Here is a 20,308-nt window from a genome sequence, read left to right on the forward strand (position 1 = left end):
AGTTTTTTCCAATTCTGTGAAGAAAGTCATTGGTAGCTTGATGGGGATGGCATTGAATCTATAAATTACCTTGGGCAGTATGGCCATTTTCATGATATTGATTCTTCCTACCCATGAGCATGGAATGTTCTTCCATTTCTTTGTATCCTCTTTTATTTCATTGAGCAGTAGTTTGTAGTTCTCCTTGAAGAGGTCCTTCACATCCCTTGTAAGTTGGATTCCTAGGTATTTTATTCTCTTTGAAGCAATTGTGAATGGGAGTTCACTCATGATTTGGCTCTCTGTTTGCCTGTTATTGGTGTATAAGAATGCTTGTGACTTTTGTACATTGATTTTGTATCCTGAGACTTTGCTGAAGTTGCTTATCAGCTTAAGGAGATTTTGGACTGAGACAATGGGGTTTTCTAGATATAGAATCATGTCATCTGCAAACAGGGACAATTTGACTTCCTCTTTTCCTAATTGAATACCCTTTATTTCCTTCTCCTGCCTGATTGCCCTGGCCAGAACTTCCAACACTATGTTGAATAGGAGTGGTGAGAGAGGGCATCCCTGTCTTGTGTCAGTTTTCAAAGGGAATACTTCCAGTTTTTGCCCATTCAGTATGATATTGGCTGTGGGTTTGTCATAGATAGCTCTTATTATTTTGAGATATGTCCCATCGGTACCTAATTTATTGAGAGTTTTTAGCATGAAGGGTTGTTGAATTTTGTCATAGGCCTTTTCTGCATCTATTGAGATATTCATGTGGTTTTTGTCTTTGGTTCTGTTTATATGCTGGATTACATTTATTGATTTGCATATACTGAACCAGGCTTGCATCCCAGGGATGAAGCCCACTTGATCATGGTGGATAAGCTTTTTGATGTGCTGCTGGATTCAGTTTGCCAGTATTTTATTGAGGATTTTTGCATCAATGTTCATCAAGGATATTGGTCTAAAATTCTCTTTTTTGGTTGTGTCTCTTCCAGGCTTTGGTATCAGGATGATGCTGGCCTCATAAAATGAGTTAGGGAGGATTCCCTCTTTTTCTGTTGATTGGAATAGTTTCAGAAGGAATGGTACCAGTTCCTCCTTGTACCTCTGGTAGAATTCGGCTGTGAATCCATCTGGTCCTGGACTTTTTTTGGTTGGTAAGCTATTGATTATTGCCACAATTTCAGAGCCTGTTATTGGTCTATTCAGAGATTCAACTTCTTCCTGGTTTAGTCTTGGGAGGGTATACGTGTCGAGGAATTTATCCATTTCTTCTAGATTTTCTAGTTTATTTGTGTAGAGGTGTTTGTATTATTCTCTGATGGTAGTTTGTATTTCTGTGGGATCGGTGGTGATATCCCCTTTATCATTTTTTATTGCATCTATTTGATTCTTCTCTGTTTTCTTCTTTATCAATCTTGGTAGCGGTCTATCAATTTTGTTGATCTTTTCAAAAAACCAGCTCCTGGATTCATTAATTTTTTGAAGGGTTTTTTGTGTCTCTATTTCCTTCAGTTCTGCTCTGATTTTAGTTATTTCTTGCCTTCTGCTAGCTTTTGAATGTGTTTGCTCTTGCTTTTCTAGTTCTTTTAATTGTGATGTTAGGGTGTCAATTTTGGATCTTTCCTGCTTTCTCTTGTGGGCATTTGTGCTATAAATTTCTCTCTACACACTGCTTTGAATGTGTCCCAGAGATCCTGGTATGTTGTGTCTTTGTTCTAGTTGGTTTCTAAGAACATCTTTATTTCTGCCTTCATTTCGTTATGTACCCAGTAGTCATTCAGGGGCAGGTTGTTCAGTTTCCATGTATTTGAGTGGTTTTGAGTGAGTTTCTTAATCCTGAGTTCTAATTTGATTGCACTGTGGTCTGAGAGATGGTTTGTTGTGATTTCTGTTCTTTCACATTTGCTGAGGAGTGCTTTATTTCCAACTATGTCGTCAATGTTGGAATAAGTGCAGTGTGGTGCTGAGAAGAATGTATATTTTGTTGATTTGGGGTGGAGAGTTCTATAGATATCTATTAGGTCTGCTTGGTGCAGAGCTGAGTTGAAGTCCTGGATATCCTTGTTAACCTTCTGTCTCATTGATCTAATATTGACAGTGGGGTGTTACAGTCTCCCATTTTTATTGTTGGGAGTCTAAGTCTCTTTGTAGGTCTCTAAGGACTTGCTTTATGAATCTGGGTGCTCCTGTATTGGGTACATATATATTTAGGACAGTTAGCTCTTCTTGTTTAATTGATCCCTTTACCATTATGTAATGGCCTTCTTTGTCTCTTTTGATCTTTGTTGGTTTAAAGTCTGTTTTATCAGAGACTAGGATTGCAACCCCTGCCTTTTTTGGTTTTCCATTTGCTTGGTAGATCTTCCTCCATCCCTTTATTTTGAGCCTCATGTGTCTCTGCACGTGAGATGGGTTTCCTGAATACAGCCCACTGATGGGCCTTGACTCTTTATCCAATTTGCCAGTCTGTGTTTTTTAATTGGAGAATTTAGCCCATTTACATTTAAAGTTAATATTGTTATGTGTGAATTTGGTCCTGTCATTATGATGTTAGCTGATTATTTTGCTCGTTAGTTGATGCAGTTTCTTCCTAGCCTTGATGGTCTTTACATTTTGGCATGTTTTTGCAGTGGCTGGTACTGGTTGTTCCTTTCCATGTTTAGTGCTTCCTTCAGGAGCTCTTTTAGGGCAGGCCTGGTGGTGACAAAATCTCTCAGCATTTGCTTGTCTGTAAAGTATTTTATTTCTCCTTCACTTATGAAGCTTAGTTTGGCTGGATATGAAATTCTGGGTTGAAAATTCTTTTCTTTAAGAATGTTGAATATTGGTCCCCACTCTCTTCTGGCTTGTAGAGTTTCTGCCGAGAGATCCGCTGTTAGTCTGATGGGCTTCCCTTTGTGGGTAACCCGAGCTTTCTCTCTGGCTGCCCTTAACATTTTTTCCTTCATTTCAACTTTGGTGAATCTGACAATTATGTGTCTTGGAGTTGCTCTTCTCGAGGAGTATCTTTGTGGCGTTCTCTGTATTCCCTGAATCTGAATGTTGGCCTGCCTTGCTAGATTGGGGAAGTTCTCCTGGACAATATCCTGCAGAGTGTTTTCCAACTTGGTTCCATTCTCCCTGTCACTTTCAGGTACACCAATCAGACATAGATTTGGTCTTTTCACATAGTCCCATATTTCTTGGAGGCTTTGTTCATTTCTTTTTATTCTTTTTTCTCTAAACTTCCCTTCTCACTTCATTTCATTCATTTCATCTTCCATCACTGATACCCTTTCTTCCAGTTGATCGCATCAGCTCCTGAGGATTTTGCATTCTTCACGTAGTTCTCGAGCCTGGGCTTTCAGCTCCATCGGCTCCTTTAAAGACTTCTCTGTATTGGTTATTCTAGTTATCCATTCGTGTATTTTTTTTCACAGCTTTTAACTTCTTTGCCATTGGTTTGAATTTCCTCCTGTAGCTTGGAGTAGTTTGATCGTCTGAAGCCTTCTTCTCTCAACTTGTCAAAGTCATTCTCCGTCCAGCTTTGTTCCGTTGCTGGTGAGGAGCTGCGTTCCTTTGGAGGAGGAGAGGTGCTCGCTTTTTAGAGTTTCCAGTTTTTCTGCTCTGTTTTTTCCCCATCTTTGTGGTTTTATCTACTTTTGGTCTTTGATGATGGTGACGTATAGAAGGGTTTTTGGTGTGGATGTCCTTTCTGTTTGTTAGTTTTTCTTCTAACAGACAGGACCCTCAGCTGCAGGTCTGTTGGAGTTTGCTAGAGATCCACTCCAGACCCTGTTTGCCTGGGTATCAGCAGCGGTGGCTTCAGAACAGCGGTGGCTGTAGGACAGTGGATCTTGGTGAACCGCAAATGCTGCTGCCTGATGGTTCCTCTGGAAGTTTTGTCTCAGAGGAGTACCCGACTGTGTGAGGTGTCAGTCTGCCCCTCCTGGGGGGTGCCTCCCAGTTAGGCTGCTCGGGGGTCAGGAACCCACTTGAGAAGGCACTCTGTCCATTCTCAGATCTCCAGCTGCATGCTGGGAGAACCACTACTCTCTTCAAAGCTGTCAGACAGGGACATTTAAGTCTGCAAAGGTTACTGCTGTCTTTTTGTTTGTCTGTACCCTGCCCCCAGAGATGGAGCCTACAGAGACAGGCAGGCCTCCTTGAGCTGTGGTCAGGTGGGCTGCTTTGTTTACCTAATCAAGCCTAGGCAGTGGCAGGCGCCCCTCCCCCAGCCTCGATGCCCCCTTGCAGTTTGATCTCAGACTGCTGTGCTAGCAATCTGCGAGACTCCGTGGGTGTAGGACCCTCTGAGCCAGGTGCGGGATACAGTCTCCTGGTGTGCCGTTTTTTAAGCCCATTTGAAAAGTGCAATATTAGGCTGGGAGTGACCCGATTTTCCAGATGCCGTCTGTCACCCCTCTCTTTGACTAGGAAAGGGAACTCCCTGACCCCTTGCGCTTCCCGAGTGAGGCAATGCCTTGCCCCCTTCGGCTCACGCACGGTGTGCTGCACCCACCGTCCTGCACCCACTGTCTGACACTCCCTAGTGAGATGAACCCAGTACCTCAGATGGAAATGCAGAAATCACCCGTCTTCTGCTTCACTCACGCTGGGAGCTGTAGACCGGAGCTGTTCCTATTCGGCCATCTTGGCTCCACCTCTGAGTCACTATTTCTTAAATGTGGAATTTCCATTTCTTCAGCGCCATTTGTTAAAAGAACTATCTTTTCTCCGTTGCCTTTAATCTTTCATCAAAGATCAGTCGACTATGTCAGTCTATTTCTGGGCTCTCTATTCTGTACCACTGACTGCTTGTCTATTCCTTCACCAATATCACACAGTCTTGATTACTGTGTTATTATAGTAAGTCTTGAAATTGGATAGTGTTAATTCTTCATTTTTGTTTTTCTCCTTCAATACTGTGTTGGCTACTCTGAGTCTTTGCCTTCTACATATAAACTTTAGAATAGGCTTCTTGATGTAAAAAGAAACCTGCTGGGATTTTCATTGGGATTGCATTGAATCTGTAAAGTTAGCAAGAACTTGTTATCTTGAAAACATTAAGTCTTCTATAAATGAACATGATATTTATTCTTTTATTTATTCTATCAGAATTTTGCAGTTTTTCTTATATAGGTATTGTACATATTTTGTTATATTCATATCTAAGTATTTTATTTTGGAGATGCTAATGCAAATGCTATTTTTTTAATTTAAAATTTCAGTTGTTTATTTCTGGTATATTGAAAAGGAATTAACGTTTGTGTATTAACCTTGTATCCTGCGACATTGCGCTAGTTCCAGGAGAATATTTTTTGTCTACTCTTTCAAATTTTCTAAATAGACAGCCATGTCATTTGTTTAAAAAAAGACCATTTAATTTTTTCTTTCCCAATCTGTATTACTTTTGTTTCCTTTTCTTGTTTTATTGTATTATCTAGGACTTCCATTACAATGTTAAAATCAGTTATGAGAGGGGCATCCTTGCCTCATATTTTATCTTACAGGATTTTTTTAACACCATTGTAACCATTTTTTTTTAACACCACTAACTGTGGTGTTAGCTTTAGAATTTTTTGTAGATGTTCTTTACCAAATTGAATAAGTTCCTCTGTATCCCTAGTTTACTAAGAGTTTTTATCATGAAGGGATGTCAGATTTTGTCAAATGCATTTTCTGCATCTATTAATATGATTAGAAGTTTTTTTCTATAGCCTGCTCCTTAAGTTAATGATAGATTACATTAATTGATTTTCAAATTAAACCAAACTTGGATATGTAGAATGAATCTCACTTTGTCATGGTATATAATTCTTTTTTATACAGTGTTGCATTCAATTTGCTAATATTTTGTTGAGAAATTTGAAGCTATGCAAAACTTTGATCTAGGGAAAGTAGTGAATGCCAAGCCTCTTCATTTGTCAGATCTAAGTGCGTTAGAATGCAGTCCTTCAGGTGGGAGCTATACAAGTAGCTTCAGTGCATGGACAAAACTTTTTCCAGGGAAAATCTATACAGCTGGATTTATCACTAGATCAAGCCAATGAAAAGACTTGGGAAGTGCCCAAGCCCCACTTTGGTTCCCAGGGGCCTATTTTTTGCTGCCTCATTAACTCTGGGATTCAGGCTAGTTAGAAGATTTATCATCAAGTAACAACTACAAGAGTATGCAGGGAAACCTCTTTCAGGAAATGGGAGCTATGCATTTTAGCTCCTCTCTTCACTGATCTCTGGAGATGTAGCCCCTGGAAGTGTTTGTGTCCCCATTTAAAACCACCTCTTTGTACTGTGATCTGAGAAAAATTACACGTTTAGTCCTTTCTACTCCCAGAAGTAGGTGGCTTAGGATGCAGTCTCTAATGTGGGAGCTGTGGAATTTGGGACATTCAGTGCATGGACACTCTTCCCAGCAAGAATTGGATTTATCACTGGAGTGGGCTGGGGAAAAACCTTGGGAAGTGCGTGAGCTCCTGTTCAGGACTTTTTGTCTGCCTTATTAACTCTCTAATACAGGTTAGTTAGAAGTCCAACTGTCAGCAGCAGCTGGTAGAGTGTGCTGACAAATTCCTTCTGGGGAGAGACTGCGAGCTGTGCCTTTTAGCCCCTTTTCTGCCCTGATCCCACAGATCGAAGCCCCTAAAAGTGCTTGCACACTCATATAAAACCAGTGCTTTTTCTGTGATCTAGAGAGATTTCTATATGCCTGGCCCCTTCTTCTCCCAGTTAGGTCAAAAACTAGCAAACCATAAAGAACATTAGAGTTAGAGCACTATATATATAGCCTAAATTCTCCCTTCTCAGTAAGACACTGAGTGTTGAGGATTCCTTCCTGATTGTATGGCACGATGCTGGGATAGGGTTTGTGCTCAAGTGTGCCTCCACTTTTTCTATCCATTTTGATGTGGATTTTTTTTTTCATTTGGCCAGGTGTAGGAGTCTCTCAACTCATTTCTGACTTTCTTCTGGAGGAACTTACACATGTATAGATGTTTATCTGGTGAATCTGTAGGAGAAAGGTCAGGAGCCTCCTATTCCACCATGGTTTTTGACATCACTCTTCTCAGGATTTCTCTTTACCTTAGATTTTCTGTAGCATGAAAATAATATGCCCAGGTGTTTTTGTGGCATTTAAATTGCTTGGGGTTTTCTGAGTGCTCTGGATCTCTGGTTTGTTATCTGACACTAATTTGGGGAACATTCTCAGTCCTTGTTTCAATTGTTTTTTCTCTTCTTTTCTTTCTTCTCCTCTGATATACCCATTATGTATATGCTATACCTTTTGTAGTTGTCCCATAATTTGGGATTCCTTTTTTTTTTTTGTCTTTTTCTGATTGATTTTCAGGTTTGAAAATTTCTATTGAGATATCTTTAAGCTCAGAGATTCTTTCCTTAGTTATGTCCACTCTACTAATAAGTCCATTGAAGGTATTCTTTGTTTTTGTTATAGTGTTTTTGATATATCATATTTCTTTTTTCTTAGAATTTCCATCTTTCTGCAACTTGCAGCTTACAATGGTTCTTGCAAGCTGTCTTCTTTATCCATTATAGATAGCCATTACCATATTAATCATAGTTGTTTTTAATTTCTATTTTGAATTTTTCATATACCTACCATATCTGAGTCTGATTCTGTGTGTGTGTGTGTGTGTGTGTGTGTGTGTGTGTGTGTGTGTGTTTTCTTTTCCTTTTTTTTTTTTTTTGCCTTTCAGTATGCCTTGTAATTTTTTCTTGATATTTGGACATGATGCATTGGATAAAATCAACTGCTGTAAGTAGGCCTTTAGCAATGTGTTGGTAAGGTGTGGTGGGAGAAATGTTCTATCATCCTCTGATTAGGTCTCAGACTTTTAGTGAGCCTATGCCCCTGGATTGTGAACTTTGCAAGTGCTTCTCTGCCATTCACCCTTCTTTAAGTGGAATTGGATGGTCCAAGTGGGCTCAATTTGTGTACTTCCCTTCTCCCATGAGGAAGGCTAAAGGAAGCTAGAGTTGGGTATTTCCCTTCCCTTGGGTCAGTTAGTCTCCGATAAAACCCTAGCAAGTTGGCCTATGCTTAACTAGTTTCTGTGGAGGGCAGACCTTGATAAGAAGAATAGAGTGCTCTGGTGTATTTCAAAATGGTTTCTTTCTTTCTCCTGCCAGAACCATGAAGGGATTTTTTTTTTTTCTGATTATCACTGTGAGGATTTGATAGAGCTCCTGGAGATAAAACTCATAAAAACATGGGCTCCCCCTTTGACTAGCTCCCCCTGAAGGTTTTAATTCTCATTCATATCCCTGATGAGCCTCCAGCAATTCATCAATTATAGTTCGGATTTTCCTGCTTTCCACAGTTACTGTAGGGCTTCTATTTTGGTAAGCTGTGATTCTCTGTATTTGCCTGTCTGCCTCAAATGTTAGGGGCAGTATTCACTCTGTGACCTCATTTTTCTTGCAGATTTTAGAAAAGTTGTTGATTTTTTAATTTGTTCATTTTTCTTGTTGTTGTCACTTGTTAGATGAAGTGAGGACTTCCAAGCTTCTTATTTGCAGGAGTAAGAGCTAAAAAGTCCCTCTTATTTTTCTAATATAAATGTTTAATGCTATCATGTCCCCTCTAAAAACTCTTTGAAATGCATCTCCTCAATAAAACATGTTGTATTTTTATTTTCATTAAACTGAGAATATTTTCTAGTTTTCTCATTGACTCATCAGTTATTTAGAAGTTTTGTTTTTAAATTTTCAAATATATGGGATTTCCCATATAACTCTCTGTTACTGATTTCTAGTTTAATTTCACCATGGTCAGAGAACATACTCTGCATCATATTATTTAAAATATATTGAAGTTTTATTACCCAAAATATGGCCTCTTGATGAATGTTCCATGTAAACTTTAAAGGAATGTGTATTCTGCTCTTTTTAGATAGCTGAGTAAGGAGTGTTAATGTTATCAAGAAAAATTGTAGATTTGTTTATTTCTTTTTTTGTTTCTATCAGTTTTTGCCTCATGTATTTGAAACTAAGTTGATAGGTACATAAACATTAAAAATTGTCATTTCTTCTTTTGAATTGACTCCTTTTATTATATGTGATTCTTTATTCCTAGTAAATTCCTTATACTAAAGTCCACTCGGTCTGATATTAATATGGTCATTCTAGCTTTCTTTCAGTTAATGAGTTCACTTTTCACCTATCTATATTCTTATGTTTAACTTAGATTCTTTTTAGATATGTAGATATAGTTTGAGATAGTTTGGTTTACTTTTTTATCCAGTTTTAAGATACCTGTCTTTTAATTTGTGTTTAAATGTTTAAGATAATTATTAATAATGTAGAATTAAATTTTACGCTTAGTCGTTTTCATTTAATATGTTATTTTTTCTTTTATTCTTCCTTTTTGCCTACTTTTGATCAATTGAGTATTTTATTCAATTTTAACATCACCATTTGTTTATTACTAAATACTTTAAGTTGTTTAATTGTTTCCATGGTTTACAATATTTATATTTTTTAATAGTAATCTATCTTCGTGTAATATACTACTTTACATGTAGCATAAGAACCTTCCATCAATATATCTCCAATTGTTAGTCTATCTTTTATGCTATTTTTGTCATACATTTTAACTTTTATGCACTATAACCCACAATACATTACTACTATTTTTGTATTAGACAGTCATTTATGTTTTAGAGTAATTACAAATAAGAAACAGATGTATTTTACATTTACTTTTATTTTAACCATTTCTGTTGATCTTCATTTCTTCATGTAGATTCAAGTTTCTAAGTATTATCACATTCCTTCTGCCTGAATAACTTCCTTATTTTTCAAAGTACAGGTGTTCTTGGAATAAATTATTTCAGCTTTGGTTTGTCTCAATTAATATTTATATCTTATTTTTTAAAAATAACTTTTTCTGGTTATTACTTTCTTGATTTGGCAGGATTTTTTTTCAGCATATTGCTAATGTTACTTGATCATCTATAGTTTCTAATGAAAAGTATGATGTCTTTCTTCTATCTTTGCAACTATATGCACTGTGTATCTGTGCCTTTTTCTTTCTGTCTACCTCCTAGATTTTTCTGTATTTCTGGTTTAAAGCAGTTGAAATATGATATGGAAGTTGTGTATGCATGTGTGAGTGTATGTATCTCTGTGTGTATGCATTTATTTAGCTCAGGAATCTCTTACCTTGTTAAATCTGAGGTTTGATATCCTTTATTTTTGTGAAAATTATTACCAATTATATCTTCAGATATTTTTGTCTCCCATTCTGTTGCTCTTTCAGTAGTCTGATTGCATGTATGTTACATTGTCTGATGACATTCCACAGCTTTGGAAGCTCTCTTTTCTGTTTTTCTCCTGTTTTTCTTTTCTTTTTATATTTTACTTTGGAAAATTTTTATTGACTCATCTGCAAACTCACTGATATTTTACTCAGCTGTGTCAGTTTACTCATTAGCCCATTGAAGGCATTCTTTATGTCCACGATTTTGGTTTTATTCTACTATTTCCATTCAACTTTTTTGTAGTTTTCATTCTCTGTTGAAATTCTTCATCTGTTCATTCATGCAGTGTATCTTTTTCACTAAAGCCTTTAACATAATTATCATAACTATATTATTTTCCTGTTCATTTTAATATCTAGTTAATCTGAGTCTTGTTCTATTGATTGCTTGATCTCTTGGGATTTTCTTTTTTATTTCCTTAATTTTTTTGGTGTTTCTCATAGTTATGTTTGATTATACTATGTAGCACATAGAAGTATTGAGACTAAGATAAATCATATTTATGTCTGGCATTGGGAACACCTTTTCTTCTGCTAGGCCATTAATATTATGGGTTGAGTGAATCTACTTAGGATTTCTTTGACATCTGGATTTTGTTGTTGGTATTTTACCTTCTTTATACTTTTTATGTGGCGTGGGATTTGGTTTGTCAGAGAGTTTTTCTCAATGTTTATGCTCAACTATGAACTTCAGTTTACCCCTGCACTCATGCTTTTCAAATAGAATCTCTCTTTTTACCCTTGTCCTTGCCCCCACCCTTCCAACAATAGTAAAATGCCATTGCTTCTTCCTCATTGCTTGTTAGCTTGGTGCTGGTCATTGTGAACATTTTCTTGGAGGTGGAATTTCTCAACATTCCTGCCCCTCATCTAGCAGTAAGATATCTCTGTTTCCTGTTCTCCATGCCAAGGGCTAGATTTTCTTTTCTTTTAACCTTCCCCTAGACACAAGAGATCTTTTCCTGCACCCCAGGAACTACAGGGTTTACTGCTGCTCTCTCAGCCACTTAAGGCTTTGTTCTGTGGAGAAAAGGTACTAGGTGTGAGCTTTGCGCTTTCTAACAGTGGCAGTCACATACTTCACTCAGACCTACAACAAGGATGGAGTCTTTCTCCATCCTTGCTTTCTCCCTAGCCCACATTTGCCATTTTGTGTTTCTTCAAACCTTTTAGCTAATTTCCTTTTATATGCTTATATTGCAAAAAACACCTATTCCTTATTCTACCAGAAATGAAAACAATCAAAAATACAGAAGACAAATCCTGCCCTTGGGCAGGTTCACAAACTCTCAGGAATGTTTTGTACTGACTGCTTTTTCACTTTAAGTCCATATTAGTTGCTTTAGTTTTTGTAGGTCAACATAAATTCTGGGCATTTAACACTGTAATTAGTTTATCAGATAGGATGTATTAATTTGCTTCTTGCTCCTAACTCTAAGAGTAACCCAATTCTACTTTTTGACTAATGTCCCAAATCACTGCTTGAGTTTTTCTAGTAGATTTACTTCATGTCCAAGCAGCTAAGATAATAAAAACAATCTGTTGAATGAGTTCTTGAATCCTTCCTCCAAAAGCCCGTAATATTCTTCTACCAATGGGATATGGTAGCCTTGGGAACCACCCCCATTATCATTCAACTACACTTGCCTCCCAAAACGTCTAGCACTAAGATATAATAGAATTACTTTGCTAACCTCTTTGTTCTTGATATTTTGCAAATTGGCATAGGCCTCTTTGAGAATTTTCATTTTTCTTAAATATAACGGTGCAGTTCACAAAGTTAGAGATTTTTTTTTCCTTATAACATCTGTTTCAGAAATCATTATAGCTCAAGTTTCTTCATGGCATAAATTGCCTTATTTTGATTTCATCAGTTTTTATGTCATTTCTTTTTCATGTCAATATGATTATGGCTATATTTAGAAATTGCATTTTCAGACAACCTTTGCTTATCTGGCTGCACTTCTTATGCACATGTTTTTGGGCTTTAATTTCCATGCAGATATATTCTTTCTCTTGGCAACTTACCTTCCTTGTTTCCACTAGCTACCTACACACAAAATCTAGATAGATTTAATACTTTAGTGCTTTTAAGTCAAAATGGTGGAACACTTTTATTTCTCACTGATATTTGCTTTCCTACTCTTCATAAACTTGTATACAAATTATACAAATGATCTCAAAATACTGTTTAAGTAAGATTTTGTGTTTCTTTTTACATTGCTAACTTGAAGAATAGCACACATATTCTCAATCCAAGTGATCAGGGAAGTAGACAGCCTCCCACTGAGGTCCCCAAAAGCCAGTGCTAATGGACCCATACAGAGAAGCTATTGTGCTGGGGTGAATCTCTCAACCAGTGCAGCACAGCAATATTGGTTTTGACATGTATATATTCATTACATTGACTTAATGATACAGAAGACTCATATCTATATAAAATTGTACATCCTGTTGGCTAGGCTGTAGTCCTAAAAATGTGGCCATAAGAAAGGAGAATGACAATAGGAAGTGGTGAACATACTAAATAGTATTTCCTTTTTAACCACAAATTTTAAAAGTATATTTTAGCTCTTTATGCATGCATTTAATATATTTATTTATTTATTTATTTATTTGAGACGGAGTTTCACTCATGTTGCCAGGCTGGGGTGCAATGGCGCAATCTCGGCTCACTGCAACCTCCACCTCCCGGAAAGCAATTCTCCTGCCTCAGCCTCCTGAGTAGTGAGATTACAGGCGCCCGCCACCACGCCCAGCTAATTTTTGTATTTTTAGTAGAGACGGGGTTTCTCCATGTTGGTCAGCTTGGTCTCCAACTCCCGACCTCAAGTGATCCTCCCACCTCGGCCTCCCCAAATGCTGAGATTACAGGCGTGAGCCACTGCACCCAACCTATTTTTTGTTGGTGGTGGTTGAGAGTACTTTTGAAAAGTTTATAAAAATCTACTGAACTCTTTCCAAATAGTGATGTAGATGGAGAAACTTCCATTTTGGCATTGGCTCTTGGAAAGCTTCCCCCATCCCTCTTTGAGCTTTGTAATTAGTGCTACCTCAAGCACCAAGTTATGAGTAAAATTGCTTAATGAAAGACCCACTCTCAGAACCTGCTATGGGCTGGTGGAATATAGGGCTGCTAAACAAGATTAGATAGGAGAGGCCAAAAAACAGGCATTTCTCTTGTCCACTCCCCAAATGCTAATTTTATTACAGCATCACAGTATCTCAATTCTGCTTTTTGATTGGGCCACTGGAGACTCCTTCAAAATCTTTATTTTATCATTAAGAGGGACTATGGCCCAAATCTTTAAGAACATGGGCCATAGAACAAGATCCTTTGTGCTATAATCTTTTTTTCTGATACTATGGGAAAATTATTTAATCTTATTCCTAAGACAGGAGGTCAAGAGACCTCTTAAGATTGCTATGAGTAAATAAAATATCCATAACCCATTCTTAAAATAGCCCCTGACACTTAGTAAAACACTCCTTAAATATTAGCAATTAGTGTTATTATCTAAGAGGAGAAAGACATTCATTGTGAAACACTTAAGTCCTTTGACAGAAAGTACTTCTCATTATAGCAGGATTCTGCAGGGATGAAACAGAGAAGGTCAGAATCTGTCTTAAGCACTAAAAGCTGATAAGAAAACGAAAACTTGGTTTTGTCTATTATATCTAACTATACATACACATATTTTATGAATGATATTTAAGAATATTGAAGAACAATGACAAATTATATATATATGTGTTATGTGTACACACAAAACAATAGCTATACTTATATATACACATAATATTTGTCATTCTTTTTTTTTTTTTTTTTTTGAGACGGAGTCTTGCTCTGTTGCCCAGGCTGGAGTGCAGTGGCACGATCTGGGCTCACTGCAAGCTCCACCTCCTGGGTTCACGCCATTGTCCTGCCTCAGCCTCCCAAGTAGCTGGGACTACAGGTGCCCGCCACCATGCCCGGCTAATTTTTTGTATTTTTAGTAGAGATGGGGTTTCACCGTATTAGCCAGGATGGTCTCGATCTCCTGACCTTGTGATCCGCCCACCTCGGCCTCCCAAAGTGCTGGGATTACAGGCATGAGCCACCGCATATTTGTCATTCTTAAAGATGGTTTCCAAAATTGTATTTCAGGCCCAAGACAAGGATCCTCTCCTGTCAAGCTGAGCAGTTTGACTCCAAATTTAATGTACCTATGAACCACTTGGGGATTTTTTTATAAGACGGATTTTTATTATATAGGTCTGGAGTGAGGCCCAAGATTCTAATGGGCTGATAACAATGCTGATGGTCTCTCTGGGAGAATATTATGGGTAACAAGGACCGAGAGCATTTTGAGTAGAGATAAAAGTTGAGCACAAGACTCTACCTACTCATTCTCTGCTGTGTCCCATCAATACTGCCAGCACAGCTACCCTGATCCAAATCCCTTAATAACCAGTGCTATTAATGAGCCTGCACTTTCCCTGGGTGATATACTGTGCTGTCAGAACATACTCAGCATAGCTGAAGAGTGGAAATGCAATCAGATTGTCATTTGGCTGTTTGGGTACTGATCCTGTTGCCTTTGATTAAAAATACATAAGCTTTCCTGCTTCCAAGTCATACCCTCTGGGGACATAATGCGGCTCAGGGAAGGGTCTCTAATGCCTCCATGGAAAACACTCCATTACCTGACCCTCTGATAATTATAAACCCCTTGTGAGGTCAGAATCTCATTATCCAACACTTACAGGATGTTTGCTATTTGGCACTGGATAGGCCACAGTTTCACAAATAGTGGCACTAATAGAAACATTAGAGACCCTTTAATCCAACTTTCTCTACTCACAGATACTACATGTGAAGTCTGGAGGTATTAACTGACTTGTGCAAGATAACACAGCAAGTTAGGAACACAATTTTCTCCTCAGCCCATCTCTCCTCTAAACAATGTTATTGCTGAGAGGATGGAGGGTAAGCTTTACATAGGAAAAGAATGCTAACCACCCATGGTAACTTGTAACATGCAGAACAGTGGTGCGTTTACTGAGGCATTTGAATGGGAAATTCTATAAGGACAGAGATGGCCAAGGAAAGTCTTAAAGGATATATGGGAATGAAGTTGGACTTTAAAAGAAGAAAGAACCAGATCCAAATTCAGTCCTCCAGTGAGAGAATCACATTAAAAAAGGCTATGCTTGATGCTCATCCTGGAACCTGGATGGTTATAATGAAATCTATGAAGATCTCAAGAAAGCATCTTCATTGGTATAATTCGAAACCATGCCAGCTGGGCAGGTAAATCATGTAAACTGCATCACTGCTATCAGAATATTTTAAGGAAATGAGGAAAGGCTAGGTATGTTTCTATTCATGGAACCAAGGGGATGGCTGTGATAAAGAAGACTTAGTCTTTGGAGAGACCACCAAACAAGGTATGTCTGGGTTCTAAAAACTTGAGATATTGATGAACACCTCTCAGATGCAGGAGCAGAAGGTCCAGGCAGATCCTGGAGATGACTCTATTCCTGGTGACTGGGATTTAAGTAACAAGAGCTTAATCCCCAGGAGGATGTTTTGAGTAAATAGATCCTGGAAAACAAAGGATACTGGAAGGAAAACAAAGGCAGGTTTAGGCATAAGGATGTAAGATAGGCTGGAACCAGGATATTAAGAGGTTAATTAATTTCCAGAAATAAAATAATATCAGGGGTGTTGGCATTCAGACACATGGTCAGAGCAGGGCCCAGGACATGGCTAACATGGCACTTGCCGGCCAGCCTAAGGATTTGAGGACAAGGACAAGATTATCTACAGGTAGAGATGGATGAGTTAACTGGCTACAATTTGGATGGTTATGGCAATGAAATCTAGGATTGAAGCATTTCACCATAAACAGGGACAAGCTTCTCTCCATGACTATGAAGGTCATCGGCTACGTTAATGTGCAAGAGTGTGCTGTAAAGACAAAGACATCACAACACTAAAACTAGGTAGCTAGAGCTTGGACTCTGAAGCCAAGTCATTATGTCATTTTGCTGCTTCCATGTACCTAGGGATGATGTGCTTGGCCTGTGAGCAGATCTCAGAGATCGGAGGTAAGTCTGGGTTAAAGTTTGGAGTCTGACACTGATCTATTGTGTGATCTAAATCAAAGCACTTTTTTTTTTACTGCCCCAAGCCAAATTTGTTAATCCATAAAATTGAATAGGGAGGCTGACTTGATCATGCCAAACCTTTTAGGGTATTGTTTTAATATTTTTTTATTTCAAAATAACTTCAGATTTATAAAAAGTTACAAAAATAGTCAGTAACTACATACACTGTATACCTTTCAACCACATTCCCCAAGCATTAACTTTTTAAAAAATCATGTTTGCTTTAACATACTGTGTGTGAGTGTCACTTTTTTTCCAAATCATTTGAGAGTAGGTTATAGACATGACATCCTGCTACCCCTACATACTTCAGTTTGTAATTCCTAAAAGTAAGAACATTCTCTTACATATGCCCAAATAATTATAAAAATCAGGAAATTTACTGTTAAACTATATTATTCATCCTAAAAGGAATTATTCAGATTTTGTCAGTTATTCCAAAATCCCCTTTAGGGAAATCTGCTTTTTGGGAGGTAGCAAGGTCTGGTGTAGGCCTAATCCAGGATTGCATGTTGTATTTAGCTGTCATATGTCTTAAATTTCTTTTAATCTAGAATAGTTTCTGTCTTTGTATTTCATCTTCTTAACATTTTGAAGAGTGTTAGCCATATTTTTTTGGTAAAACGTCCCTCAATAGTGTTTTTGATATTTCCTCATGGGTTAATTCAGGGTATATGTATTAGTCCATCCTCATGCTGCTATAAGAACATACCTGAAACTGGGTAATTTATAAAGGAAAGAAGTTTAACTGACTCACAGTTCTACATGGCTGGGGAGGCCTCAGGAAACTTACAACCATGATAGAAGGGGAAGCAAACACGTCTTTCTTCACATGATGGCAGGAGAGAGAAGTGCAGAGTGAAGCAGGGAAAAGCCCCTTATAAAACCATCAGATCTCGTGAGAACTCACTCACTATCACAAGAAGAGCATGGGGGACCACTTCCATGATCTAATCACCTTCCACAAGGTCCATCTTCCAACACGTGGGGATTACAATTCAGATTACAATTCAAGATGAGATTTGGGTGGGGACACAGAGCCAGACCATAGCAGTATGAATTTTTGACAGGAATAATGTTGACTTCATATTTGTCATCAGAATCAAATGCAATAATGTATACGAATGTGCTTTGGTTAAATGTAAAGTTCTATTACAAACCTAGGGTTGAGGACCGAATTCTCTATCTTCTCTCTGTTCTTATCTCCTAGAATGCATGAAAAGTACCCTGGGGAGACAAATGTTTCATTTAGGTACAGTAATGAAACTGGAGGATATAAGTCAGTTCTGCATCATGTTCGCCGTGACAGAAACTTTAAAATACTGGCATTAGAATAACCTAGAGGATCCCTAGCCTCCTCTGGACCTCTATGTTTTTTCCTTACACAGGGATTTCTCCTTGTAAAATCCTTACACATTTAATTCCTTCTTGGTATTTGAGGACCTGAACTAATACACGGAACTACTGTTCTGCTGAACACTGTGGGAAAAATATGAGAGAAAAAAATTATCTCTGACTGAAGAGTGGAGCACGCTACTGAAATAGACAAGTTGTCTGGCAGAGGACATCTCATGAATACCTCTCCCTGCCAAAGTCCAAACTACAGCATTTGATAAAGTAAACACTGAAATACCCCAACCATTTACATTTCAGAGAGAGCAGAGAATGCCAACTTTATCCCAGAGTGAACACCCAGTTTGGTCAGGGATAGAAAGGCAGAACAGAGGCCCCAGGAAGGGAAAGGAGAAGGGAAGATACATAATATGGATCCAGTAATTTGCCATAATAACAAGTGTCCCCTTAAGCAAGAAGAGTAAAGTTTATTGGTTTTATATTAGTTGATAGTAAGAACAATGATTAAGAATGAGAGGAAAACATCCACCTCCCTGAAGGAGATTCTAAATGGGGTTTCTAACATTTCCAGCTCTCAAATGAGGATGGGTAATGATCCCTCATATTTCATTCTTAATGTGTCATGTAAACAACTAGGAGACAAGCCTGCCTGGAGTTGCAGCCAACATACCAGTTTTCTCTAGCTAAGACTATATCTGATGTGTGAAAGGCACATCAGCCTTTCAGAGGTGGAAGAGTCAATGTTCCCCAGGGCTTCCTGTTGGTTTGCATCTTTGGTGATGCTTGGAAGGCAAGTATGCTAGTCCCAGAATCACCCACAGTCTGACTTGCACAGCCTCAGGGGACTGCTCCGGCAGCCTTTGTGAGGAGTCTAAAGTGCCTCTGGCACTCCTCAAAGTACTGAATGATCCAGGTGGAAACCTGGGAGTGAAAAGGAAAAAAAACATTTGACTTATGTCTACATTTATTGAAAAAAAAAATAGGATGCTGTGTTCAGTTATAAAGATCTCAAGAAAACATCCTCATTGGTCTAATTTGAAACCATACCAGCTGGGCAGATAAATCATTACATAAACTGCATCACTGCTATCAGAATATTTTAATGAAATGAGGAAAGGCTACGTATGTTTATATTCATGAATTCTCTTCATCACACACACACCAATGCTGAATTTGCTATAATTAGTTTTGTTCTCTACAGAAAACTTCATTTATTGGGGATGCCATTAAACAAGTGAAATACAAATTACAAGTGACATTGATATGATCATAATCACTCCTTCCTGGCTTCCAGAGATATTTTCTGAGAGGAGCCTGCATTTCTACAGATGGCATAAAAAAATGAGGCCTGCAGAACACACCATTATTCCTGCGAGGCCCTCAGTTCATTAGTTGAAGCAGCCAAGTCTTCACGAGCCGCAACTGATCAGCAAATGGGAAATGAGCAAGAGTATAAATTCCCAGCAAACCAAATCATTAACATTTGCTGCCTGCATCCTGGAAACACAGTAAATCAAATGTGTCATCATTTATCAAGACAAAATATCATTACTAATTGGGATTAATTTGCTGCTGTGGGATTGCTGACCTTTGCTGAAAGAAAATAAAACTGCTCGTTAGCTGTCTTCATTTAATTTTCCTTGAAGTAGGGAGAGGGGAAAAGGCATTCTGGCTTAGGGAGGAGGGAGGAAAGGTAGGGTGGAGTGTTCTTATCTTCCTAACACTACACATTTTAAAGTCACAACTTGATGAGAGAACCTGCTCCTATGCTGTTGCCAATCCATAATCCAGGGTTTTCTATTTGTGATAACAATGCCTCTGGTTGTCATTGTCTGTGATTTAACACTGTCTTGGGAAATAATAATTAAAATAATTGCCAGGGTAAAATTATACCTGGTTTCGTTTATAAATAGGAAAAGGCAAGCCCATTGCAACTCTAGGATTTATCTTTCTGCACTAACATTAAAGGTGATTCAAAAGAAATAACACATAAGTCTGAGCATCCCCAGTGATTCTACATCTGCCTGGGGTCTACATGGAACCATTGACTCAATTATTTTGGGTATTAACTTTTACTCTAGTAGGTATCAATTTTTTTTTTTAGGGCAGATGAATATGTGTGCTATGCTAAATGGCTGTAAATGCTGGAGTCAGGATTCTTGTCTTTAGACTCTAAGGAAACTGTGGATCCTGAGATGTCAACTGTGGATTCAAATCAACACATTAAACACCACTGATATTTACATTTTGTAAAACACTGCATACAAATTTTATTTATCTTGATCGTTGAGTTATTTGATGCCCCCTTAAATTTTGCTTCTGAGGAAAGTATCTCATTCACCTTACCCTAGTTGTGACAGGCAATGTTGAAGATTAAATGATTTACTCATCACAACACCTAATGGGAAAACTGAAGATGAATAACCTTCCAAACCTGGCAAACAGTAGAATCAGGACCCAAATGGAGAGCATCAATGCCTTGTTTCAGCATCCATGCTCCTAATACTGCTATTCCTCTTAGCTACTGCGAGCAAATCAGAGTGGATTAAGAAGTGGACCATGCCA

General features: G+C 38.1%; 1 annotated feature.

Moving 5' to 3' along the window:
- Positions 4,210-4,794: an enhancer, noted in NCBI's record as "H3K27ac-H3K4me1 hESC enhancer chr15:46834165-46834749 (GRCh37/hg19 assembly coordinates)". NCBI's record gives its function as "activates a minimal SCP1, AML or CMV promoter by ChIP-STARR-seq in naive and primed H9 embryonic stem cells {active_cell/tissue: H9 hESC(naive and primed)}" and the evidence as "EXISTENCE:reporter gene assay evidence [ECO:0000049][PMID:30033119]".

Source organism: Homo sapiens, chromosome 15 (genome assembly GCF_000001405.40).
Source record: "Homo sapiens chromosome 15, GRCh38.p14 Primary Assembly".
NCBI lineage: Eukaryota > Metazoa > Chordata > Mammalia > Primates > Hominidae > Homo > Homo sapiens.